This window comes from Homo sapiens, chromosome 8 (genome assembly GCF_000001405.40).
Source record: "Homo sapiens chromosome 8, GRCh38.p14 Primary Assembly".
NCBI lineage: Eukaryota > Metazoa > Chordata > Mammalia > Primates > Hominidae > Homo > Homo sapiens.
Genome location: NC_000008.11, coordinates 76,651,128 through 76,678,678, shown reverse-complemented (window position 1 = coordinate 76,678,678; position 27,551 = coordinate 76,651,128). Strand labels below are relative to the sequence as shown.

Genomic DNA, 27,551 nt, shown 5'->3' with positions numbered 1-27,551 from the left:
AAAATTGGTGGCTATTTCTCCTCTACACCTCCCCCCGTCTTTTCTTGGAAAATACAACTGTGTGTATCCGTGTGTGTGTGTGTGTGTGTGTGTGTGTGTGTGTGTGTATGTGTGTCTGGTTGTGGGGGGCGGTTATTGATTTCTAAGTAAGGAAACAAAAGAGGATTTGTAAGGGGTGCCCACTTTATCAACCCCCTCTTTTGCTGGCGAGAATTCTCCTAACGTGTGTGTGTTGTTGTTGTTGTTGTTGTTGTTGTTTACCATCTCTTTCTCGTTTTCTTTCACCTTTTCCCTAAGAAGAGAGGCTGGAGGTGAGGGTCGGGGGTTAATGGGCTGAGGGAAGGGGCAGAGAGGTTCTAGCGCAGAGTCAAGAGTTTCCTCCAGGGCTTGGCCTCGGAGCGCGCCAGCGTGAGGAGGGCTGTTGGGCTGAAGCGGCGGCGGGACTGCGTGGGGTGGGCCCCGGGGCGCGGAGCGCGGCGCCGCTGGCAGGGGAGCGGGGAGGCGGGCGAGCCCGAGCCCAGCCCGCGGGCCGCTATGGGGCGCGAGCGCGATCCGAGCGGCTGGACCTGGCTGCTCCGCTGTGCCGCGGCCGCTTGCGCCCTACTTCTGGGCTCCCAGCGCCAGGAAACCCAGCTGCTCCTCTCGGGTCTCCGCGGACGCCTTTGACCCTGACTCCCACTCCCTGCCCCACCCCCATTCCACTGTCCCTAAACTCTGCGCGAACCCGCCGCCGCCCTCACGGAACGTTGGGCCACTTTTTATTTCAAAGTGAAAGGAGTAGAGGTTTCCCTGCCGCTCCGAGAACTTTCCCTAGATCCTCTTCAACACTTTACAGGGCAACCCCAGCCCAGCCACATCCACTGCAGAGCACTCGGACCCTGACATTGAGCACCGAGTTAGGGGAGAACCAAAAAGGACTACCAGGTGGTTAGGTGTTGAGTGTTGGAGGCAAGGAGTAATTAACATTGAGACAAAAGGTAATTTCCACTTCTAGACTTTTTCTTCGGCGTATTTTATTTCCCAAATCCACTCCGAGGACACTCTTCACAATCGGTCTAATGAGTTTTCAGCTGTTTGTTCTTTCTCCCACCCTGTCCTCACCAATTCACTAATAAATACCCCACCTCCCTCTCCCCAATGTCCCTCCAGCTCAAGAACAACTCCAGCCCAAGGGGAAAAAGGTTTCCAGTCTTTTGACCGCGCTTCCGGGGTCTATAGATGAGCTCAGTTTGAAACGAGGTATTACAAGATGTCAGCGTTAGGAACTCTTTATATCACCACAGACACTTAAAGATCCTCAGCCCCCCTCCTCCTTTTCTCTTTTTGTTGGGTCTTCTCCACCCGGGGGCTATTTAACAAAGGCAGTGTGTTAACTAACATTTTTGTTTAAGTTAGCAACCCCTTTCCAAAACACACTTAAGCCTGATACCAATATTTGTCACTGTGTGTGTAGGGGGGCGAGGTAAGTGACAGGGTTGGGGGGGTATTTATGTAGGGGAGAGATGTGAAGTTGACAATGAATGGAAAGGTGCAGGGCTTGTTTGGGAAGGTGTCATAAACACATTATATTTACAGTGAAATAATTCAAGAAATAGTGGGGTGTGTGTGGCTGTGTGTGTGATGAGGGAGCCAAAGATTTCTATACAGAACAAGGTATATATTTTTAAAGAACTAACAAAAAAGGGGGATTTAAAATATGACCTAACATTGAGAATGGACACTCTCTTTGATGGAGGGAGTGAGCTAGAGGAAATAAAATTCAAAAGGGAAAGGCATTTTGAGTGTGTATATACGTGTGTAGTATTTGTGGGCAGTTAAATTCCTCCCTGAATCCCTCCCCTCCTCCAGCTACACTCGCATCTCCTTTATGGTCTTCTTCTTTTTCTTAAAAAGCATAGAAATGTCCCCCTTTTGTTCCTGGGTCTCTGTCTCTGCACCTCTATATCCATGTGTATTTCTCTATTCCTGGACTAAAGTCCATTTTTGGCTTCTACTTTGGAGTAAATGTTTTAGCTTTTTTCTTTTTTTCCTTGGGGATTCTGACCTTTTAGGGGGCAGGGGAGTCATTATGTAGAGTTAGACACAGGTAAAGAAAGGAAGGGGGAAAGAAGGAGGGGCTAGAGGGTTTGAGGAAGGAAGAATTAAGGGAGGAGAGGAGGGAAAGGGAGAAGAAAGAGAAAAGTCAGATGCCCTCTGGTCTTTCAGAGGTCAGAGCTCAGACAGTGCTGTGACCTCTTTTCCCTCTAGGCAACCAGCCCAGTGTTTATAAACAAATCAGACAGGACTCTCCCCAAACAATAGCAGTACACTAACTTCATAAGCACTTCCACAGCACTTGTACAAATTAATGAGGACCCCTTATCACATTCCTCCCCCCAACACACATACATGTTCACACCACCAAAAACCAAGATCACAATCACACCCTCCTCAAATATATATGGAGATATTTCCAGCAAGAGTATCCAAAGAAAATGTTACATTCTGTCTGGGGAAGAGCTCCAAGATATGATCCAAATGGGAAAGGATAGACAAATAGAGAGAGAGAAGATACAGACAGACACACACACACAGACAGAATAACTAATTTCATTGAGCAGAAGATAAAGTGATATTTTAGACCTAAAAGCATCTATATCTAGTCAATGAAATGCTGTATAGACAATATACTAAACTCCGGCCACCAAATAAAATTATTTTAAAACGACATTGCATTCATCCAAACACCCACATCTCTAAGACAAATGTGCAGATATTTACAGCTGAAGAAAAGCCACCACCACTATATGCAATGTCCCTAAATATTAGACACAAGAGCACTCTTAAATCCTACAGCAAACAAAACAGCCCATCCAATCTAAGTTACAAAATGTATAATTGTTTCTATCTTTAATTACAAAAGACAACTAGCAGAAACTAAATGAATCAAAGATTTTGAAAGAAAATGTGGTTTGCCAAGATACAGGAATGGTAGCTTTACATTAAATTATAACCAAAACACCAATTCAGAAATAAATGACAAGATAGAAAAAGAAGGTGAAAGAAAAAAAATGCATTAAATGATTTTCAAACTTTTGCTTTAAAATGATTATCAGTTAAAGTCTAAGAGAAAAAGGTTAAAGAAAATATACCTCAGAGCAAAAAGATCATCTCCTTTTCTTCTTTGTCTATCAGTCCCCTGTTAAAGCATATGGAAAATGTTTTCAAAATGCCCAGATTTGGCACATTGTCATTGCAAAGAGGAGCGCAGTGATGCTGTTAGAGAAAATGGGAAATAAATTCAGGATTGGGTGCTGCCTCCTTCAATGCGGATTTATCTAAGTTTAATTTAATATTCCGCAATCACTGAATGATGGCATATAATTCACCAAGATTTTAAAGGGCTTTATTTAAATACCTTGAGCAATAAGAGAATGAAATTTAAACCATTTCAGCCATTGCTTATATTTTTTGTTTATTTTCCTATTAGGAGAAATGTAAGTGGCAATTTCTAATAATAAAAGGAAAAACGATGAAGATTTAGGTTTTCTTTGGGGGGGGAGAATGTTAAAGGAAAGCATTAGCTTTATTAAAATCATTCTGAACGTAAAATCAAAAAGCACAAAATGGTTGTTTGTAAAACACTAAACCTTTAATCGATTTTATTGGCATTCCGATCGATTAGATAAACGGAAATCTATAGCAAACATCAAAGCATTTAAAACATTTTCTCTATCTCATTTATAAACAAAACTTTTCTTTTCAGCAGAAAAAAATGATTATCAAACGACTAACAGGAAATTCTTCAGATATCAAATTACGATAATAAAATTATTTCCACATGGAAAGGGATAATGACAATGATGATAGTAATTACAATAATGAATAATTCAACAACCCTTTGACATGTATGGAAGAACCTCAGCAGAAACGGGTGTTTGAAGGGGGGCTATTTTAAAATAAATACTTTATTTTTAAAGGAATATTTTAAGAGACAACTCGAGGGCAGTTGCTTAGGTGTGCCTGCCGAACTAGTGTTGATTTCCCTGCAGATGTAAAGGAGTCGATTTCTTTGCCGGCGGTTCCCTTCCAAATTGAGTTACTTCTTATAAGCAAAATTAATATGCAAACAAGAGTGAGCCCTACCAGATTTACAAACTAGTGTCTGGACTTGTCTTCTACCTATTCTTAAAGGTGATTCCCAAATTATAGAGAGGGGCGAGGACTAGACTCTCCAAACCTGAAGTGAAGGAAAACGATTTATTTGGAGATGTGAAAACTGCTGTCCGGAGAAATGCAGCCATTAGAGCTTATGGCATTCTAGCTGTGGCGGCAAGAGGAAGTGTTGCTGTAACGGGTATTATGTTTATTTGTTAAAGAAAATCAATGGAAGTGGCTGTAAAGTAGTTAGTGAAGCGTGTGTTTGGGACTCGCGGGGAATCGTGACTCCGGCAGGCTGGTCGAGCAGCCTTCTCATTGCCAGCAAAGTCCCTGCGTCGCCCGGAGCCGGGGCGCGGACCGCGCGGCACCTGGCTTCGCGCTCGTGGGTCCTGCCCCGCGCTGCTCTGGTTGACCGCCTGTCTACACAATCTTCTGCCCTCTCTGTCCGAAGTCCTAGCAATTGCTCCCTGACTCGGGCTCCTTCCAATTGACTGTGGTTGTCTTCCCACGCCCCGCCTCAGCAGCACACAGCTTTTTCCTCTTTTTCTCTTAGGGATTCTTGTCGTTTCCTCCTTTCCTTACGCTGGGAGCCTGAACTTATGTTCCTTTCCTTCTCCTGGAATCTCTCTGAATCTCCCAGTCCCTTGGGTGAATCGCGGACTATTTCTTTCCTACCTTGCCCCTCCCCCATTTCTCTCTCCTGCCATTTATTTAGCACCCGGGTCTTCTTACCCTCGCACTTCTATCCTCTCCTCCAGACATTCCAGAGAGTTCTCATCACACCAGAATGCACTTTTTTTTCTCCTCCTCCTACTCCCTTTGGATTGGGGAGTAAAGGGGGATTTCGAGTTGAACTCCCAGGGGTTTTATTCTATTCTTTTAACAGCTTTACTTTCCCTTTTCTTCTTTGCATAACCTTCACCTACCTACTAATTTATAACAGAAGCGGTTTCTTTCCCTTTCATTTCCTAGTTTACAATTTCCGTCTGGGGTTGTGCATTGCACATGCACTCTCTGACTTCCCCGCCCCCGCTCCCCCCGCCCCGCCAGCCTCCGTCCAAGGCAACTATTTTCTTATACTCGGTTGCCGTCTAATTGCACTTTCTCTTCTCGGAGTTAAGTTAGTTTCCACGATATAAAGTTCACCGTACAGCGCCTTTGCATCTGTGAAATTATTTCGTTGCCCAAATGAACAGTAGGGTGTGGGGGGAAATGTATCAACCATTTAGGTCCCTTTTAACACCTTTTTACTCTCAGTCCCACCACCCACTCCAGTAATGTCTAATGTGAATAATAACGAATTCTGGAAGACGTTTCCTCTCAGCGCGTGCTGATTGCTCATGAGTTATTCCTGAGCGGGTCTCAAAGCCCTCACTTGTATCTTCTGACTTCGAGTGATCACCATTTCAACCGTCCACCCTTTCTTCTCTTTCCCTCACTGGCAGCCCTGACTGCGGGAGGGGGACGCAGCCTAAAGACCTCGTACTCTTGCTTCTTGTTTCTAGCTGCTGCAGCTGCCGCTGAAATTCGCTGTGGCCGCTGCCTCTTCCCGCTTTAATCCCAGACCTCCAGTCATTGGGCAGCTCCTCAGAGGCAAGAAGTCAACACCATGGCAACCCGACAAGCCTATCAAATCACCGGCTGGCGTGACAGCAGCAACACTGCAGGCAGGAGTGGGCTGGGCGGAAGAGCAGAGTGGCCACTGCGCTCAGGTACACAGTCTGGGAGTGGACAGCAGCTGCTGGTCTCCACGTTCTGGCTACACATATGTGCACCACCCAGTCCATACCCCTACCTTATGTGCCCTAGTAGGTTCTGGAGGAGAAAGGGGAGGAGGAGAAGGAGAGAAGCATATAGGCTTGGAGGAACAGGAACCGCAGAAAAGAGTTTTAAACTAAAAGGAATCCAAGTCTTAGAATTGTAAACTAAAGATGTCTTGTGCCCCAGCAGTCTATGAAAACAAGTCACAATAGGCTCAAAACTAAATGGAATGAGTTTACACAAACAAGGTGTGTGTGTGTGTGTGTGTGTGTGTGTGTGTGTGTGTGTGTGTGTTTGCCAGTTCTGTTATTTGTTTGAACATTAATGCAACATTCTGTTCTGGAGCTCCAAAAGGATAAAGGAAGATGTTGCTCTGGAGTTCCAAAAGGATAAAGGAAGATGTTGCATTTTAAAATTTTCTTGTCTGCCACTGTTGGAGTCTGCTCAACTTTAATTTCAGCTATGGTAATGGTAATTGGCTTCCTTGAAGATGACCTAAACTTTACCTGAAACCGTCTTTGCCTTGTTCTTTCATAAAAGGTGTGTTGCGTGTAATGTGTGTTCTAGATCTTGATTCCATAAAGGGAAGAAAGAGAGGACACCAGGAAATGTGTGTATTCCTCTAAGGCCTACCTGGCCTTTGTATTTCCTCATTTTCCTTAAGAAATGTTGAATTAGGCAGATGAAGGAAGATGGGCATTTCACTAACATTTCAGAGCATTGTGTAAATTACCATGAGATAGATTGGAATTGCATTGTTCTTTTTTATTTTAAAAGCAAACAATATTTTTGAGAAACACCCAACATATTTCTTAACTTACAATTTCATTGTGAAACCTTTGACAAATATTTGTACAAGAATATAGAATGCTATCATTGACCAAACGTCCCCCCTAGGTCACTTATCTCATCATGATTTCTAAATTTTGGAATGCAAGTTTGCCTGTTGAAGTTGTATAGGACAGAAAGGAAAATTTATTTAATAACAAAGGTAATGTGTCTTATTGAGGAAATCTTGTATGAATTACAAAATCTACACTTAAATCCACTCCACATAAACACGATTCACTAAATAAACAATTTTTATATTGATCTAACATTTTTATGAAGAGGCTTTCAATGTGTAAGTATTTAAATTATACTTGGCATCCATAAAATGTTAGAGAACTAGAAAGGCTTTTAAAAGCAGCAATTGCAATATTAAGCAGAGTAGGATGGAGAGCCAATGTTTGAGGCTATAAAGAAAAATTCGATGAAATCTTGAACTTCATTTCCTTACTTTCTCTGTGTTTCATTGTTGATAGATCCCAATATTAAAACAGTATATTTTCAAAATATAATTTATTATAGAACCAAAATGGGCATAATTACTGGCACTAGAGAAACAGGTCATGATATCCTAGAAAAAACTTTTGGACATAATATGATTTTTCCTGCATTGAAACTCTAATGTCATACTGGTAATATTTTCTTATTCTGCGCTACTGTGCAGAGTTGCTTAATGAAGAACCGCCAAGCACACAGAGCTGATATTTGGTTATTGCTTAAATGGCTACCTCAATGCCAAGGTATTGATATCCTTAAATATTTTTGGCTAATTCACATTACATTTAACATGTGCTGAGCGTTTACAGTGGAAAACATATGAAGAAACATAATACTGTAATTTAAAACTAAAATGCGTATATTTAATTTGTTATCTCCTGAAACTACATTTGTAAATTTAAAATATTTTTAAAGATAAGTTTAATAAAATGTTCAAAAATATTTCAGTATACTTTGGCTTTTGTAATAATAAATGAGCACAGGAAATATGGTGACATTTAATATTTTACTATTTCTTTTAATGGCATGTCCTCAGTTAATGGAAAACTTTCAGTACTTCGGGATCTATAATACTATTCGTGTGCGTGTGTGTATATAGTATGTTATTTAAGGATACTGTCACTCAAGTGTTCATTTCTATGTTAATATTTCTAATTTTAAAAAATTAAAATGAGATGAAGTTAATATATTAAAGAATTTAAACCAAAACAAATGCCTAGGTATTTTAAGAAATCCTTTGAATTTTTCTTAAGTTTTTCTTTATCATGAACTTGCCATTTATGGGTGATTGAAAATTGAAACAATTTTTTTGCATTTATAACACAAATATTTATTTTTTAATTATAAATCAATTTTAGTGTCTACCATTAAAAATACCTTCATAGGTTGTATAATATATGACCATCTGTTTAAATATAGATTCATGTATATGCCACACACATGTTGCTAGTTAGCTTTACATTCAAATCTTTACATTTAAAGCTATTTTTTACACTTTTAGTACTTTCCATATGGATGCTGTTAGAAGGAGGAAATTTCTCTCCTTTAGCTGATGAATAAGATAGTAGAATTAAACATAGTTTAAATACTACATTAAAAAAAATCAATGCAAGGATGCCTCACTCATTTTCAACAGGATGGATACCATCTCCATAGAGTTCATTCTTGACCTTACCTGAGTAAGTACTTTAACTTAAAGTATGAGATGCACCTAGAGGGGTAATACATTGAGCTTAATAGGAAGACAGTTAATAACCTTTTTTCATCCTCGTGCACTATCAATCATGGCTGTCACCAGTCTGCTGAATCAAAGCAAAAGTGTTCTTCACAGATGACTGATTAGAAACGCAAAATCACAAGATCCATCTTCATGGTCACTTTTATTATAGTCATTTTTAAACTGACAGCAACCTGCTCAGCTTCAGCACACTGGGCATCACAAATAGTGTCACTCAGTGCAGCTAGGCATGAGAAGAGGTTGGTTGGATTATACTGAGAAATAATTAGGCCCTCAACCCTTTGTGGTTCCTAGAAAAAGGTATTTGGCTCTCAATCTCCCCTCCCCCACTCCTAATATATTTTGATTCCGTTGTATCATTAGTTTAGCATTAGAAGGGAGGAGTCTTAGGGTATAGTTTTATCCCTGTTAATTGTCTGGGAATTAGGAAATGAATATGTCTACTTGAAAATTACATACAACTTTTTGTGTACCGTCTTTTGTCAACTTCATGACAACCAGAAATATTGCTACCCTCACAGGGGTAAATAGTTTAAATAAGGTGGTTTTTATACAAATATGTGCGTGTGTGTTCACGCTTCAGAAATCTAAGTAGTCAGGTCATAGTAAATGATGCCCACTTACTAATAAGGTGTCCTTTTTCTGTGGAAAGCATTTAATACCATCACTTGAGTGCTGTAACACTGGAATTACTGAGGCTCTAACTAAATGCATAGTCTTAAAGAAGGCCAAAATATTAACTCTTAGGTAGCTGTGTAAATTCTTGACATGTAGTGTCATATTTTTTTCAGCCCTAGAATATTGAAAAAAGGACAAATTTGGAAGACCAACAAATAGATATACGTAAAAAGCATTACAGTAGGAGGTTTGAAACAGTTATAGCAGAATCAAATGATAAGGAACTTTGTCTTTACTAAGACTCTTCATCTTTGTGATACAAGATGAAACTTTTGGGTTTATTTCATGATATTGTCATACATGCCTTAAGAATATTTTATAGTACTATATGACAGTATTGATAAGAACATTTACATGGGGAAAGTTTTCAATAGAAAATCTTCAAAATATATTGTAATTCTAATGCCCATTTTATAGGTTCATTATTTCATATTTTGGGAAAGTAAACCCCAATAGATTTAAGTTTTAGTTTAGTAATTTTAACCAAAGTGCCTTATTTTAGGTCTCCATACAGTTATCTTTTCCCCTCATCTCAAATATCCACTTTCTTGTTAGTGTGCGCACACACACACACCCCCCCAAACACTAAGAGAAAGAGAGATAAGTCATTAATAATGTTTATATAACATAATAACCTTAGATTAACTTTCAGACATGTGAATATCCTACCTTTAACTTTTCTGTAAGGTACCAATTTTTTTCTCCATCTCTCTATAAACCGCCCCCCCACACACAAACACACACATATGCACACACAGACATACACACACATCTTTATTATTTATTCTAGGTTATGACAATGTTTTTCTCTTCTGTGCAAAATACATAAACAGCATACATATACACATAGTCATATATATGCATGTACGATATATCTGTGTTTTCTACAGATGGTAATAGATGTCTAAAAGTACTCTATAAAAAGGCTAAAATTAATTTCTTTAATATTGTACTTTGTTATACATATTTTTGTATATAGAAGAATCAAATTATATTGTGAAATAAACCCAATTAGCTATCTAGTTTCATTGTATATTTTTAGTTAAATAACACTTAGAATTTGAATAGAAATGTTAGCTGATATTTTAAAATATTTTCACCTTATAAAAATTAATAATAACAATACTTATATTATTAAATATGTAAAATTAGGGCTAACTGAAATGTTTATGTATTTTTAAGCTACATAATTACATAAATAACAATGCAATAATCATCTTAATGTGTTCATTTTCAGTTCACTTTAACAATAAAAACAGAATGTCTCCTGACAAAATGTCTCTCTGTGTTTGTGTGTGTGTGTGTGTGTGTGTGTGTGTGTGTATTTACTTTGCATACATTAAGTTTACACTTCTAGAAAGGACAATCTCATAGAATTCAATATTGCTTTTAAATTTTTGGCGGTAAAATATTCTTTATGACTAGATCATACACATCAAAATATTTATGAAAAAGATATTTATTTGAAATTTCTGGAATCTGTCCAGGATATTTTGCTAGTAAAACTAATGCAGTGAAATGATACACATTTTTTTTTTTTGGCATCATCTTGGTAGTCTATGCAGGTGGTCACTATAGATCTTTAATATTAATCTTTAATATGCATCATAAATATGAAAATTTATAAAATTTATAACAATTTTAGGTTTAGCATCATGTTTTCTTCTACAGATAGGTCTTAATGGACCGAGAAAATAAAAATAATTTTCTCTTTTAGAAATTTAATTAAAACAAAATATTTAAAGAAAATTAGCTTCTTTTAAAAGTTATCATGGAATGTTATTATTTGAGATTTTCATGTTTTGACAAAAATTGAAACCAACATTGACTTACACTTAAAGCATTATTGTTAATTTGGAAACTGTTTTGGAGAAAATATTAACATTTTTATTTCTCTGAAATCTTTAACTATTTTGCTGTTAGTCGTTTTAAATACCTATCTTATGTCCATTGTTTGTGCTTACATTTTCGTTACTGAGAACATTCTTATGTTTGTCAATATATAAAGCAAGCAACTTTATTTAATATAAGAATATTACATGATAAATGGACTAGCATAGTTGGTAGAAATACACTTAATATATAAATACATGTTAATCAAAATATATTTGAAATTGAAAAAGCCTAATAATGTTTGTGCATTGTAGCTTGGGCTAGAATTTATATTTGTGCATTACATGTAATATTTCTATACATGAATGCATATACATAACTATACCTAAACCCTTTCATATTTAGGTCATTGACTTATTTTGAATGCTATCACACAAATATTACAATTATCTTTGCCATACCTGCATTTATGCAGTTTGAATATGCAGTTACAACATTTCTCTTTTTCCTGGAGTGTGATTTCTCCCTTGGTAACTGAATTGTTCTTTGTTGAATCTTTGTGATTAAAAAAAGTAAAAGCACTGTTGTATGAGTGTCAGTTTGCAATAAATGTGTGAGAAGATGTGTGGTCAGGACAGTCTGCCTATCTTTTAGCATGTCTTTTCTACCTGGGCTTAACTAAAGCTATTTAAAGAGAAAAGAAAATAAAGCAAAGGTCAAACAAAAATCACTGTTAGCATCTTGTAGTAAAAGAAAGAAAATCTTGAGATATTTACAATTATTTATTACATAATTTTTACTGAATGTTAACTTTCAAAATGCTGCTATTACTATCACTTTTTATTAAAATCGTCATTTTGTTCAATTGTTGCTTTTTAGTTAAAATGTGACATATACAGACCTTAAAAATCTCTAAAACTAGAATTATTATTTTTTCTGCTGCTCATGTTCCCCAAATCTTTCTGCCTTTCAGCCACTAAAGCTAGAGGATGAATTTTATAACAAATAGACTATTTTGATTGGTGTGCTTTATTCTTACCTATTTCGGTTTACAAAAATATGCAAATAGGTGTAATGACAACCTTCAGAATGTATTCTAAGATGTTAATGATATTTTCAAGTAAACGTTTAGGATAATATTTTATAATGATCCTTTTCTTGATAGCTAAAGCTTTTATATGTAAACCTCCACTTATATATTACACTACCACTGAAGAATTTTAATGTATTGCAGTTCATTTTGCAATAGATGCACAAACATTCAGAGTAGCATGATGTTGCTTAGTTATTCCTCATAGTTCACATTTAGATTTTCATTTGAATTTTTCCTTTTTCAACATTTGGATATCATTTCATTAACTATCATAAACCAGTAGTTTAAGGAGGAGCAATTCTGAAATATAAACACTCTTTCTAGGATTTTACAGCATTGCCATAGGAGAGAAAGAAGGGACTAGCATTACTTTACTCTAAACATTTCCCTGTTATGATTATAAGAAAAGATCTGATACTGTGGCAATTTTTTTCATATGTGATCTTTCTTTAGAATTATTTTCAAAGTCAACTGTTCTTAGACCTTATTTTCATCTCCAAAAAGCATAAGTTTTGTTTCTTTGTAAGATATTTCTTTAGAGCATATCTTAGTTTAATTCACTTTTAGCAAAAGAAACACCCAGGCTCAATCTGGAGACCTCCTTCCAACATAATTTAGCTGGACCTTTTCTTAGTAAAGGTTTTCTGGTTTTCATTTTCACTTCATATTCTCAAATAAAAGATCCTTTGTTGTCTACCATTTGATTGGACTTAATGAAAAACACTCCATTTTAACTTAACAGTATTTCCTTTTGAATTTATTATATTTAAGAACACTGTCAAAAATCAAACATTTAATCTCAGGTTTTTATATTTCAAAATATATTACTATCACATGGCTCAGTGAGGTGATGTAAAAAGTATACTGAAAAGATTTCAAAAAGAAAAGCAAAAGTGAAAAAACCTGGCTTCATTTTAATATGAAACTAAATACTATGGCTAATGTGCAGATTGGGTACGGCAGCTGACTATGAAGACGAACATGTGACAGGGTGCCAACAGCGGAATTGTGCAGTATTGACTAAATGAGGTTCACTGATTTGTATTGAGGCTAATATCTTCTTTAAACAATTCCGTGTAAATTGTGCGTATAAAGTCATTGGAAGCTATTTCTCAGGACAGCCTCGCTGGCTAGCTACCTGCTGGAGTGAGGAAGATAATCAATAGGAAGAAATAGAGCTGAGCATGAGCCTGGGAAGCTGCAGAGCAGTTAATGCTGATAAAAGTAGATGATGTCAATATTTGGGAATAGCACAACTCTAGGATAATAGACAAAAGAGAAGTGCATATGTTGTAGGGTGTTCAAACAGGGGCAAAATTAAAGCCTAAGTGGCAGATGATGTCCTAGGCTGCAAAAGACATTACTTATTACAGGTATTGTTAAATTTCTACTGAAAGCCATACACAGAGCAAGATATTGTATATAAAAGATACCTAACTTTTATCAGAAGCTTTACCCATTTCTATTTCAATGGTCAGTAGCTTTCTGCTCATGATTAATAAGGAAAGACTGTCTTTAAAACATTTGGTAGATATATTTTTACATGCATAGAACTACATGTCTCATTAAGAAATTAGTTTTTAAAAATTATCTGAGTTGCTTCCAAAATAGAGTTAAAAATCATATAAAAGTGCAAATGAAAATAGGCTGTCAGTCAAAGGGTGACACCAAAGACATAAACCTAATTGCCTTTGCATATATTTGTGATTATAGCAGATGCCCTATTTTTTAAAGCTACTAGACTTATTGGAAGTGAGTTAATGGTATATTTTTACAAACTTAATACTGAAAATCAGTTTTCCTCTTGCTGTCAGGTGATGAAATTTTGTTCTTCTGTGCTGATCTTTCTGTTGATGTATTATGACATAGTCTGTCAACATGAACAGATATGTGAAAGGAGATTGGGTGACTGAGAAATACAACCTGCATAGAGCTCTTCTTGAATTTTAAGCGTGTTATCATGTTTGGGTACAACAAGTAAGATTGTGCTTGCTTTAAAATGCTGTTATTTTTATATAATTTAAGCCCAAGTAAAACAGGTGGACCATGAGAAGGTTCTAAAGTGGAATGAGTGAGCCAATTCCAAAACATGTATTTCAGAATATCTTTTATAAAGCTTTTCACATCATAAGTTGATTCCTTTAAAAAAATCATTTGCAAAATGTAAAAGTTTCTTGACAAAGAGGAGAAATCAATTCATGTACATGTGATTATTAAACATAGCCATTTTCTCCCAAATTAAACAATTCCACAACTGTTACATGCTTTTATTGTCGCAGATGTTTTTATTGTTTGGTGTTAGATATCTGGATTATATCAAGTACACGATTCTGAGGTTAGGTAAAACAGCCAAGCCTGATAGTGTTTACTTGGAACCAAGCTAACAAATGTTATTAGAAAAGCAAGTACATTTATCTAGGACCTTTCCTTTTAAACATATTTTAACCATAAATATACAGATTTAAATAAATGGTACCTCTGCTTTTCATTTTCTGCTTTTATTTTGAGAATAACTATCTATTTTGAAAATAATTTACAGATTTAGCAAACTATACGTTGCAGTTATTAACCTCAGATACTAATTATACTAATTTCATATTCCAGATATATAATTTTATAAGCTCTCCTACAAATAAAACATTTGCTTTAAAAAATTGCTATGATGTTGTCATATATTTCATTTTTCATCTTAAATACAAAGAAATAAAATATCCTTATTCATTATTGAATTATAAAGAAGGCTTCATTTCAAATAAAGTATGAATTTTGATTTAGAGACACAGAAAAAAAATCTTTTAAGATCTATACTTCAACTAATTTGTTAATCTTGTGCCACTTTCAGCATTTGTCACACATATAGACCAGGAAATTGGCTCCATCTCATTCTAGCTCTGTATTGAATTAAAAACCTCTACTGCAAAGAAGAGCATGATGTGGGGAAAGAATAAATTTAGTTCTTTCTTTAGTAATGCACATATATTTCCATACATTTCACATCCTAAGGGAGCCTATGAATGCGTTCAATAAATACAAAACTATAAAGTATAATTCCAAGAAAGGAACAGGTTAATTTTTTTTCTGGTTTCAATATAGCATTTTAAGGTTGAAGACTGAAAATTAAGTATTTTTATTCATTTATTTTACTTTCCTTTTAACAGACACCTTCAGTATTAAAAGTAAATCCGTAATAATGAATCTTAGTTGTTCCATCCACTTGGATAATGTTAGCAGGTTTAGATCAAAGCAAATTAAATATCAGCAGTGGCAAATCGAGAAAAATGTTTTATGCCATTTGAATCAAGGTTTACATTTAGTTCACTAAAGTCCATCCTGGCTAATTTAGTAGGTATTGTATGCAAGCGACATATATGTATACATTGAAAAGAGTGTCCATTCCTATTTCATTTGTCTAGGGTAACAGAAAAGGTCTTTTTCAATAAAGTATAACAATAAAGGGTTAGCTTTTACACATGATGAGGGCATTTCTATTAAGATTTTGTTAAAATGAAATATGCCCCACAGGTGATTGAGATTACTGACTTGGAAGATAGACTTTCTGTATGTATAGTTCTCTATACTTTCAAATATTTGAATCTTCGACTGCATTCTGAGAAGACAGTACAGTGTGGTAGATTTATGACGGCCTCACCGAAACAGAACTAGCAAAGATTATGGCTTGCTTGTTTAGAATAACAGTGAACTGAAAGTTCCTGATTTACACCAACATATATCTAGATGAAACCACAGTTTGCAAATTGTCTTGAGGAGTCATCTTTTATTAAGCATTTGATAGGTATAGAAATGTACATGTCTATTTCTAAACATATTATAATAACTATGCTGATATTATATTTGCAAATATTCTATTTAATATTTTTAGGTTAAAATTAATTTACCTTATATATTTGTATTTCTGGAATGCCTTAAAATTTAATTTCCAGCAATAAATATCATGTTAAAAGATATGTTTTATAATATATCAAAAAAAGGTCCAATAGTATTAAAAATTTTGAGACGTCACAGTAAATCTGCATACTAAGACATTCAAAATTTTTGTCTTTTTTAACATTTGTATTCGTATTCAAGGATAAAAAATAAATCATCAAAGACTGCCTAAATTGGTCAACCTAAAGCTACCCAACTTCTTCGCTTTTTAAGTGTTTAATCACCATGATCTTTATTTGAAGGGTAGAGCTGTTTCCCTCTTACTTTATAAGGCCAGCGAAGACACTCCCTTACTAAATTTAGGACTAAAATTGTGAGCAAATGTTCTTATAGACTTTTTCCTATGGGAAGTCTTATCCGTGTATTATCAGAAATGACAGAATGCATGACATAAACTTGTAATTATTCTGCTATTCATTTCTAATTCTTGTGACTATATTCTTTGCTCCCCCCTTTAAATTTTTTTAATAATAGCTTATAGTGTTACCATTTATATTTGGGTGAACCACAAATTATTTTTCCAAATCCCACATACCAATTTATATACTTCCATTTAATCTGAGAAATAAATGTTTGGGAAAAGGTGAAGATGTTATACAATTAGATGACATAACTTTGAAATTGCTGGAGTCACAGCTCCCTTGAAATCCTCATTCTATTGGTTTGATTAATCTTGTATTTTAAAGCTTAAGAGTTTAGATGCTTAATATTGGTATTGTGTAAATTAGGTGTTCCTGGAAGTCATATTTATGAATTATTTTGTGCCCCAACTGTTTCAGGGCATAAAATTTCTCTAACAGACAGCAGCTGACAGATTGGGAGAACCTGGCTCAAAGTGTCAGATAACTTTTAACTCTAATGTAAGTTTTGAAAGTATCTTTTGGCTCTCTCATTTTTTAAAGGGATTTAGTAATGGAAAGCATTTGAAGTGCATACTTCTACTATTGGCCCAGGAATTGGAAGGATACCAGCTCAGGCTCCTTCTTCCTTCATTTCCTTTTTCCTTCTTCCTTCCTTTTTTTCGTTATTTCAATTTTTGTCTTTTGCTGTGGTTAGAGAACACCTAACATGAGATTTAACCTCTGATATGGTTTGGCAGTGTCCCCACCCAAATCTCATCTTGAAATGTAGCTCCCATAATTTTCGGGTGTTGTGGGAGGGACCCAGTGGGAGATAATTGAATCATGAGGGCAGTTTCTCCCGTACTGTTCTGGTGGTAGTGAACAGTCTCATGAGATCTGATGATTTTATAAGGGGAAACCCCTTTTGCTTGGCTCCCTGATTCTGTCTCGCCCAGTCAGGTAAGAAGTGCCTTTGGCCTTCCACCACCATTTTGAGGCCTCCCCATCCACATGGAGCTGTGAGTTCATTAAACCTCTTTTACTTTATAAATTACTCAGTCTTTATCGGCACTGTGAAAATGGATTAATACAACCTCTTAACAAGTGTTTAATTGTTGAGTACAGTATTAGCTATAAACATAATGAGATACAGTAGTTCTGTAGAGCTTTTTCTTCTTTCATAACTGAGTACACCTGTTAAAAACCAACTCCCTATTTCTCTCTCTCTCTAGTCCTTGGTAACCATCATTCTACCCTCTGCTTCTAGGAGTTTGACTCCTTTAGATATCTTATATAAATGGGAAAATGCAGTACTTGTCCCTTTGTGCCTAGCTTATTTCACTTAGCATAATATCCTCTAGTTTCACCAGGATACCTTTCTGTGTCTAACATTATCCTCTCCTTCCTTGGAGGATCACAGGGAAGGGGCCTAGTTGGAATGTTCAGTATGAAATGAAGCAGTTCATTTACTAAGAGTTTGGAAGATGAAAGTCAAAAGAGCAAGACTGCTGAATTCTATGGGAAATAAGCCCACCAATGCTTTTAGCCACCATTTGAGACATTGCTGACTGTTGGGAAGCAAAGTTAATGTTCACTGCGTGCTCACGATGTACCAGGCATGGTGATAAGTGCTTTACTAAAATGGCCACATTTATCCACATAGCTCCCCACTGAGGTAGGTACTATTATTATCCCCGCTTTACAGAAAAGGAAATTGAGTCACAGGTTTTAAGACGCTTGCACAAGTTTATAGAACAGATAAGTACTAGAGATGGGATTCAGCCTTCTATATGAGCACTGTCATGCTGCTTCCCTAAAAGTCACATAGCAAAAAATGTTCTTTTCTTTGAATCCAAGGGGGTAAAAATATAATCTGTCTCAATGGGGGAGAAACAGTCCTCCATTCACCTCTCCTAGCTAAGAAATAAGGAGAAAGTGTCCTTGGCCAAAGTCAGCTGACTTTGACTATTTGGTTCTGAAGAAGAGTAGATGTATCTAGAGTTAGACAACCCAGGCTAGATGTCAGAATGATGGATGTGACAGATCTAATTTTCAGGCTCTGTCTCAGTGGTATGATGTCCAGACTTTCACCATTCTCAGTGGCATGATTTTTACCAATGGGTTTGTAAAAGATGCTCAAGTTTAGTGGAATCCAAGTATTCCATGTGAAAGTATGATATTTTGACTTATGTGTTTCTGTACCATTAATAGGAATTATTGATGATGTCCTTCTTTCCAAGAGCATATTCCTTAGTTGTGGTTGTTGCATTTACACACCATTGTTAAAGACCAATTATAAACTTATGATACTTTGAGAGAAATTATTGCTTTTTACCCTCAAGATAGGATTCAGTGCCTAACTTTCTGTTCTTTTTATCAATAATCGCTTCTATTATTTCTGTTGCATTCACTTTTATTCAAAAAGGCTTTTATTAAAAATTGCCTTTTTTTGTTACTCATCAGAGTTGCAGATTATGTGAAAATCAGTTACAACCACTGAACCAGACCCTATTACACTATATGTCTATACTCTGTTGAGGTAATATGAACATTTTGCTTCATTTTTTAAAACTACGGAATTTACTTCTGTTAGCGAGTGATTCACATATAGTAGGTGCTCAATAAATGCTAACCAAATACATAAATATCTGCTTTGATAATAATCTGATTTAAAGGGTCCATAGAACTTTGATCCTAATATTGATCATTCAGATTTATTATGTTAAAAAAACTTTGTTTTTCCCCCTAGGTTACCATAAAAACAGGAAGATAGTAAATGCAGTTTGCTAGTATGTATTAGGGAGGAAACAGAGATGTCAGAAAGGCAAACAAGTATTATTAAGCAAACTATAGAGCAAAGTACATAAGAGTGGAAGCATTGGGGTCAGTGAAAAGAGAGAGAGAATTCTAGCTCCAGTTCATATGGTGGTGCGATCCTAGACCATTAATTAACTTTCTCGAGCCTAGTGTACTTTTTCTATAAAATGGGTATTATAATAACAGAGATAGATGCCTCAATAGAGGATTGTTAAATATCCTGTGAAATGGCACAGGGCCTGGCACTGTATAAGCACTCAATAAATATTACCTATCATTATCATCAATTTATAGGAGATTTTAATGCCTCTAAGTATGTATCAGTTTGCTATTTGAAAAGTTATATTTTTGGCATATTACACTAATAAATGATATTTTCAATAAAATCCTTATAATTTTGAAAATTCCCCCAAGAATCAAACAGTCTCAAATCTGAGGGAAATTTTTTTTAAAGAAAAGATATAATTTAGAACATTATGATTACATAAACTTGTTGAGTTTATAAAAATTAAATTTTAAAAAGCTTGGTTTTATATGTAGAAGAAATACTCTATACACAAAATTTAAAATTAAATATAATTTTCTTTTTATAAATGCCATGGGATTAACATTTTTTCTTGCATTGTGGGCTACAATGTTGAATGAGATCCCATCTCTATCCTCATGAAATTTATAACCCACTGGCATATTTAGTGATGAAAATTATAACAAAGAGCAGTATGGGAAAAATTAATTCCATGAAACTAATTTGGGAGTATAAAGCTGGGCATATAATTTATGTTGTAGACTACTGAGAATACCATGCCATTATCAAACCAATTTAAGCCTGCATCTGTCCCTGTTGTGTATGTATGCACGTATGGCTATATGCATTTGTTCATGAATTGTGAAAACAAAGCAAAAAAGTATACTTTCATGCAAGATATCATTGCCTATTTGTAGAAAGAAAAATTGTGTTTTTTCTTCTCACCCTTAAGAGAAGATACTATTTCCCTAAAGGAACAATTACATGCTGCATAAACTGACATGCACGCTTGTATAACACAGTCATGATAACAGTGAAATGGTTTGTAAATAGCAAAATCTATCCAGCAAAAGTAATGTTTATGATGCTTTCTGCATTCTTTCATTTTTAAGTTTTCCACTTTCTTTCAAAGTCTGCCGAGCAATGACATACATAATTTTAGGAAAAGGAAAGGCAAAAATCTTTCCCTTTATGACTGACAAAAATAACAAATATTCCATCTTTTCCTTGTCCGTTGACTTGGGACACTTGTGCCCTCGTGTGTGACCACAAGGCATCCTTTCTGTTGACAGTTACAAGCAAAGTGTAGCTGCCTTGATTGACTGTGGCACAGTCAAAATAAGCCAAAATGTCTCGAATGATTTGGGCAGCCAAATTGTCGCTGTGTAGGGCATAGTACAGCCGTCTGCAGGATGCTTCGATGAAACAGGCAAAAGGAGGGAGAGAGAGCAGACCTAAATCTTCTACCCTACTAATTCATGAGTGAAATGAACTTGATGAAAAATGGCTTCAGACTTCTTGTCTAACTTCACCTTGTATATTATTACTTAGGACTTTCTAACTGCTAGATACAAAAAAAATTCTCCTACTAGATTATTATTGCTGAAGTTAAACCCAAATTTCACTGTCTAAGCTGTATGTAGTAAATGTTGCTTTCAAGAGAGATATTAGGCATTATTTCCTCTTCTAATTTGGTATTAATGATAAAAGCAGGCCTGTCTATGATCTGTTATCATAGGTGTCTTCTGATGGAAACGCTGATTTTTGAGATTGACTTTGATGTTCTGTCTGCCAAGGCAAATAGGAAGTCAATAATCTACAGTGCTGACTCTTCACACTGAACTGTTGCTCTCTGCATGGAACCTCATGATAGAATTAAGGCAGTATATTTTCCAAATCTTTTGAAAATCATTTGTTCCTAACTCAGAAAACCATGACTAATGTATGCCTACATGGTACCAACAAGAGAAAGGAAAACCACTACTTGGAAAAAAAAAAAAAAAAAGAGAGATGAAGAACATGAGCAAACCTTTGCTACTCTTATTTAGTCTTTTCATTAGCAGGTTTTACTCAGTCAGTCATATCATTAACATGTCCTGGGGTGCCCACAGGGCAACTAAAAAAGAGGCACTGTAAAACTGGAACTACAGAGCATGGACAAGCCAGGAAGTTCTACATATTAAATGAAAGTGAGGTGAGCATCTCCTTAATGTAATGTACCAGGAAAAGTTTCTTAGAAAAATTAAGCCCTGAGCTGCAATTTGGTGGATGGACATTGTATCATAAGCTTATTTCCACTGTACTGCAGTTTTCATTAATTTGGTCATGGATGGATTTATTTTATTTTATTTTATTTTATTATTTTATTTTTGAGATAGAGTCTTGCTCTATTGCCAGTGCAGTGGCGCGATCTCAGGCTCACTGCAACCTCTGCCTCCTGGGTTCAAGAGAGTCTCCTGAGCCTCCCGAGTAGCTGGGATTACAGGCACCCGCCACCATGCCTGCCTAATTTTTGTATTTTTAGTAAAAATGGGGTTTCACCATGTTGGCCAGGCTGGTCGAACTCCTGACCTCATGATCCGCCCACCTTGGCTTCCCAAAGTGCTGGGATTACAGGCGTGAGGCCCCGCACCTGGCCGATTTATTCTGTTTTAACCACTTACATTATTATACTTTTAGGTTTTTTTTGAAACTTTTTTTACTATAGAATGCATTTGTTTAAATGTTGAAAATTTGTAATTTAATGTCCAATTACAAAGAAATGGTAAAATAAACCATGGAAATATACAAGGATGAATTATATATCATTAAAATAATTATTGCCAACTTTCTAATGACTTAAAAATAAAAAGTAAAGCAAAAACTGCATTACACAAACTTATATATTATGAGCTCAATGATATAGCATTTTGTATACCTAGGAAAATATTAAGGAAATTTAATTTACCAACTTTTGTCTGTGGTCAATTTCGAATGGTGGGATTTTGAGTGATTATTAATTTATTTTTCTTCTTGGCTTTTAATATTTTTCTCTAAAGAGCTTGTCTTATTTTTGAATTAGAAAAACAGAATTACTTAAAAAAAATGAGTCTGCAATAAAAACTTATACGTGTAAAGTTTCAAGAAATTTGCTTTTGGATCAAAAGAAATAAATATTTTTATAGTCTTGAAAGATAATTCTAGTTTTTAATCTAGATTATTATTTATCAATTCAAATGGGCACTGAGACTGCCAGTAATACTAGCATTGAGTCTGAATTTTAAAAATTTCCCTGATTTAATAATACTGCCTCCTTGTTATTTTAATTTGCATTTCTTTGACTAGAAGATATAATAATTATTTTTCCTCTGTTTGAGTTCTAATTACTAAAATATACTTTCTTTTGTCTGAATTATATATAATGTCTTTCGTCTATATTTCTGATTTTATTCTCTTTGTAAGAATTCTTTATATAGCCTTAATATTTGCTGCAAATATCCTTCTTTGGCTGCATTCTTTTTATTTTACATTGATTTTCCTTCACCAGGAGAATGGCCAAATTTGTCAATATATTTCTTTGTGGCTACACCTATAATTTCAAATGTATAAAGTGTTTAATCCTTCAGGGTTCTATAACTATAAAATCATTTTTGGTAGTTTTTCAATTGTTTTGGCTAGTTTTTTGTAGTTTTAATCAAACACTTTAAATCAGCACTTATAGAGTGTTGACTTACAGTTTTTCAAGTGCTAATAAATGGTCCCAACATCATTTATTTACATATTGTTTGATGCTTCCTTTAATCATATATACATGTATACATATATATATGTATTCACATACACATATTAACATATATAGTATATGTATGTTTATGTTATTCTTGAATTTATTATCTTATTCTCTTGGTTTGTACATCTGTCTAGAAGTTTGTACATCTGGCTAAAATACTACACTATTTTAGTTATCATTGCTTTAAGTTTAATGAATTGCAATATTTTATGTTAGTACACACACTCATGACATACTTTAATATCCTTGCCTGCTTGCTTTTCTAGATTAATTATTATTTATTGCCAATTTCTGTCAGGCTATGAAAAAAAATTCAGTTGTGTTTATTTAAAATTGAGAATTATATTAAATGTGCAAATTAATTTAGAAAAATTGAACATAAATGATAAAGAGTACTGAATTTTCTCTTTCAATAAAAGAGGCTGATCAAATCCACAGAAACATGAAGGGAAACATAACCCCTAAAACTTTTTTGGATCTTCCCTTTTCTCCCATAGGGCTCTAGGAAGCAACAACCCTTTCAAACTGTATTATTCAGGGCTGTATTAGGGGAATTGGCTTCCAGAAGTATAGAGGCTGAGAAGTCCAGCAATAGGCCATCTGCAAGCTAGAGAACCAGGGAAGCTGGAAGTGTGGCTCAATCTATATCCAAAAGCCTCAGAACCAGGGAAGTCTATGGTGTAATTTTCAGCTCAAGGCCTGAGAACCCAGGGGCCACTGGTTCAAGTCTGAGTCCAAAGGCCAGAGATCTTGAAGTTCTGATGTCTAAGGGCAGCAGAAGAAAAGCATGCCAGCTCTAGGAGAGAGAGAATGTAAGGAAATTACCTTTTCTCTAACTTTCTGTTCTATCTGGGTCCCCAGCTGATTGGATGGTCTCCACCCACATTTGGGCGAGATCTGCCTTCACTCACTCCACCAGCATACACACCAATCTTCTCTGGAAACACCCTCATAGACATACTGAGAAGTAATGCTTCACCAGCTCTATAGGAATTACTTAATCCAGTCAAGTTGACACCTAAAATTAACCATCACACAAACATAACTAAACTTACTTTCTGTGTGTTGCTGATGGTTACAAACAAATGTTCCACAATTCATGGAAGCAGTTCTTCAAAACATAAAATCTTTAACCAATTAAAGATTACCTTTGAGATTAACAAACATGTTGAGAAGAAGACATTAAACCTAAAACTCATGCTCACCTGATGACAAATTGTGACATCAGATTTTCTAATACCTGAAATTTCAATTTTGAAAAAAAAGGTGTTGATTAGAAAGGAGCAGTTAATTCTAGGTTACAGGTCTGTCGTAGGAAAAATAGATCTAGTCAGAGCCATACATTTGGGGCTTTGAATCATCTCAGAATGAATCAGAGTGTCTGGGGAGAGAGGTCTGTGGAAGGGCTCTTGGCAGACATCTTTTACCTGTTGCAATTTTGTATGGTGCCCCAGTATTTGTAGCACAAGCATTTATTTTTGAGCCATGGTATCAGTTCCTGCTTTGATTCTTAACATTCTTTTTTATCTCAGTTAAGATCTCTATTATCCACTGCTTTATATTTTTTATCATTTCATCAGTGGCATGATTATCAGTAGCTTTCTCTATATCATTCATTATACTACACATATAATTTGTGCTGGCTCCTGGATTGTATATTTTACATGTATGATTTTATTTACTCCCCAGAATAAGTCTGAAGTGCACATATTATTTTGAATGACCACCTAATTTTTTTTTACTAGCACTCTTGCTCCTTATATCTTTTAGCACCTTTAGTTTTTCTGTATATGGCAACTCTCCAGATCATCCCCATAGCTTCAATTAACTCCATAACCTACAGTCCCCTCATTAGATTCCACCTGCTGGCTCTGCCAACTGACTGACTCAGTGAGCTTTGGGTGAGATGGTGTTCTCTTCATGGTCAGCATCTGGTTCTAGGTCGGGTGTCTCTAGCCCTTATTCTTTAGCTCTGCATTAATAGTCTGTTATCTTGTTTCATCTTATCTCATGTTAATTTTACTCAGTCAGTCATATCATTAACATGTTTTCTTGTCTCTAGCCCTTATTCTTCAGCTCTGCATTAATAGTCTGTTATCTTATCTCATCTGATCTTTTCTATCTACCCATTTGTTTATTCATCCATTTCGAATTGTTTTTTAACATGTTTCTCCAGGATAAGCAAAAGAATTCTAGTACTTCCAACGTTGCATAAAAATGACTCCGAAGGGTAACTAGAGGCAGTCCTTAAATTCAGTGTTGATACTAACACAGAAAAATGTGACCCCTTACTAATGTGTCACAGTCAGAGAGTTCTGGCCAAAATAATTCCTATTCAGATTCACTTCTGTTGTTCCTATGTACCTGTGAGTTTATCTGGATACAGTTTCAATATATAACAATGTTCTCTATATTCTCAATAAATAATCATACCAAGGTAAAGTCACAGGAAAAGGAGTACTAGACTTTGAATAGAAGACCATGATTTAATTTTTGGCTGTATTATATATTATCTGAGTGTCTGAGCAACTCTATTAAATCTTCTGTGTCTCTGTTCCTTTATAAAATATGGGTTATATTATCAATTTATTCATAAGGTTTAATAAAACAATATATAGAAAAGACTATACGAATTCAGGTACACAGTGAAGTATTGGATTTATAGGAAATAGATGGCACATTCAATGAGGCAATTACGGAAATTTATTAAAGAATTTATTTACAAGATATGGACAGGGTTAAGTGAAACTAACAAGAAGGAGCTGTTACCATGTTTAGGCCAGAAGGAGCAAGAGAAGCGAAGAGTTATTGGAATATAGAGAAAGAGTTCTGCCTGTTTGAAAGGACTGCCATACAGTAGTTCTGGCTTAAGTGGAGTTAGCTACAACTGCAAACTCTTACTTCATCTAGCACTACCAGACAAATCCATTAAGAAAAAAGAAATAAAGCCCAGTTGGTCTAGAGTTCTAGACCGTAAAAGCCAGCCTTCTAGAGCAATGAGAGAGTAGATAAAGGATAGAAATTGGATCAGGAGGGGCAAAGAGACTGTTCATCAGAATGCTCAAGAAATGTTTGTTGAATACGAAAAGGTTGAATCTAAATCCTAAATCATTCTAAAGATACAATAGTAGGCCATGGACTAAGGACTGAAGGTTTGATGGTAAAATGAAAAAAAAATAAGATGGGAGGAGGTAATTCGGAAATGATACTAATTTGTTAAGGATTTAAAAGAATGAATAAATTAAAAAGCAATGGGAAAAAATTGGAAATAAAAACACAGAAAAATAACGTGAGATTTGAGCAAGAGCAAGTGTATTACTACAATAAAAATAAAGTGTAGACTTCAAAATGAATATATCATATTATACTATACTAGTCACTCTGTCATTTACACTAGTAAAGGCTTATTCAGTTTTGAAGTTTTAAACTAACTAAAAATAGAATGTTGTTTATTGTGCTCTTGACAGAAAAACATAGTCTCTGTTCCACATATGTATAGTCTTCCAAGATAGAGACAAATTTGGAGTTAGAATTTGGAACCTAAATTCAGCTTGACATGGTCTTGATGCAGTATTCAAATGAGTTAGATATCCATGTTGTTACAAAATATAAGTTTGAGGGAGTTCAGCTTCCTAGGATGGTTCAAAAATGAAGATTTTTCTCTTAACCAAAAAAGTGAGTATTTTGCAAATTAAGTTGTTTTGTATCTGTTTAAAAGGGGAGCTTAAAATCCATATAATTTACCTGTTTTCTGCCTGTGTATTTCATCACGTAAGTACTGGAGTCTAACTGGGTAATTTCACAAGTATACACAAAAGCCTAGTGGGATGCAAGATCTAGTGCTCATCGCTACCGAGGATGTATAGAAAAATATGTAGGAGAACCTGCTTTGCTTAGCGTTTAGCTGAGACTAGTAGGAGGAAGAAAATACAAGGAAGAACTAGAAACAAGCCAATGAGAAATTTAAGGAAAGTTCTCTCAAATATTATAATCACTTTGACCCAAAGGGAGTTTCGCTGATATTCGTGGTATTTAAGTTGGTTTGTAAGACAAGAAAAGGACAATATTTTGACAGAAATGGGGGAGTAGAAAAGGTTTTCTACATAACTAAGAAAAATAATAATACTAAGCATTTACTGAGTGCTTACTGTGCATCAGGTATTGACTTAAATGCTTTCCATGCAGTTAACTAATTACAACTCAATTTTACACAGAAATGAATCATCAACTCTGCAAGACCATGTGGGTACCCTTGTTTCCAAAGACTTAGGTTACCTACCATTCCATGGGCTGAAAAAAATTCTTTTTTCCCCTAACAGCCAAAGTACCTAATAAAGAACAGTTTCATAATTTTTTGTGTGTATAATTTCATAATCTTAATCATTATCAAGCATGGGGAAAATGTTTATAATGTCTTCATGACAGATATAATCATTTTCCTAAAACCAAGTAAACAACATTCTCAATAGATAAGAATGATTAGCTTCAAGCTCTTAATAAAATTGATGAAATTAAGTTGTTTAAGAATACATTTAGATAATCTTTAAGTATGAAGACTAAATAAAAGTGCAGATTACAAAATAAAG

At 35.3% G+C, this 27,551-nt stretch overlaps 1 long non-coding RNA gene across 1 annotated transcript in view, besides 3 other annotated features; it reads left to right on the top strand.

Moving 5' to 3' along the window:
* The window catches only part of ZFHX4-AS1 (ZFHX4 antisense RNA 1), a 72,397-nt gene that overhangs the window by 4,597 nt on the left and 40,249 nt on the right, over positions 1-27,551 (top strand). The window contains exon 2 of the long non-coding RNA NR_024360.1: positions 5,646-5,852. This is a non-coding gene — a long non-coding RNA (ZFHX4 antisense RNA 1). The remainder of the gene's footprint in view (positions 1-5,645; positions 5,853-27,551) is intronic.
* Positions 434-583: a silencer, noted in NCBI's record as "silent region_19304". NCBI's record gives its function as "represses an Ori minimal core promoter by ATAC-STARR-seq in GM12878 lymphoblastoid cells {active_cell/tissue: GM12878}" and the evidence as "EXISTENCE:reporter gene assay evidence [ECO:0000049][PMID:35858748]".
* Positions 4,731-5,025: a silencer, noted in NCBI's record as "tiled region #233; HepG2 Repressive non-DNase unmatched - State 21:Repr". NCBI's record gives its function as "represses a minimal TATA promoter and a strong SV40 promoter by Sharpr-MPRA in HepG2 cells {active_cell/tissue: HepG2}" and the evidence as "EXISTENCE:reporter gene assay evidence [ECO:0000049][PMID:27701403]".
* Positions 5,261-5,761: an enhancer, noted in NCBI's record as "NANOG-H3K4me1 hESC enhancer chr8:77585153-77585653 (GRCh37/hg19 assembly coordinates)". NCBI's record gives its function as "activates a minimal SCP1, AML or CMV promoter by ChIP-STARR-seq in primed H9 embryonic stem cells {active_cell/tissue: H9 hESC(primed)}" and the evidence as "EXISTENCE:reporter gene assay evidence [ECO:0000049][PMID:30033119]".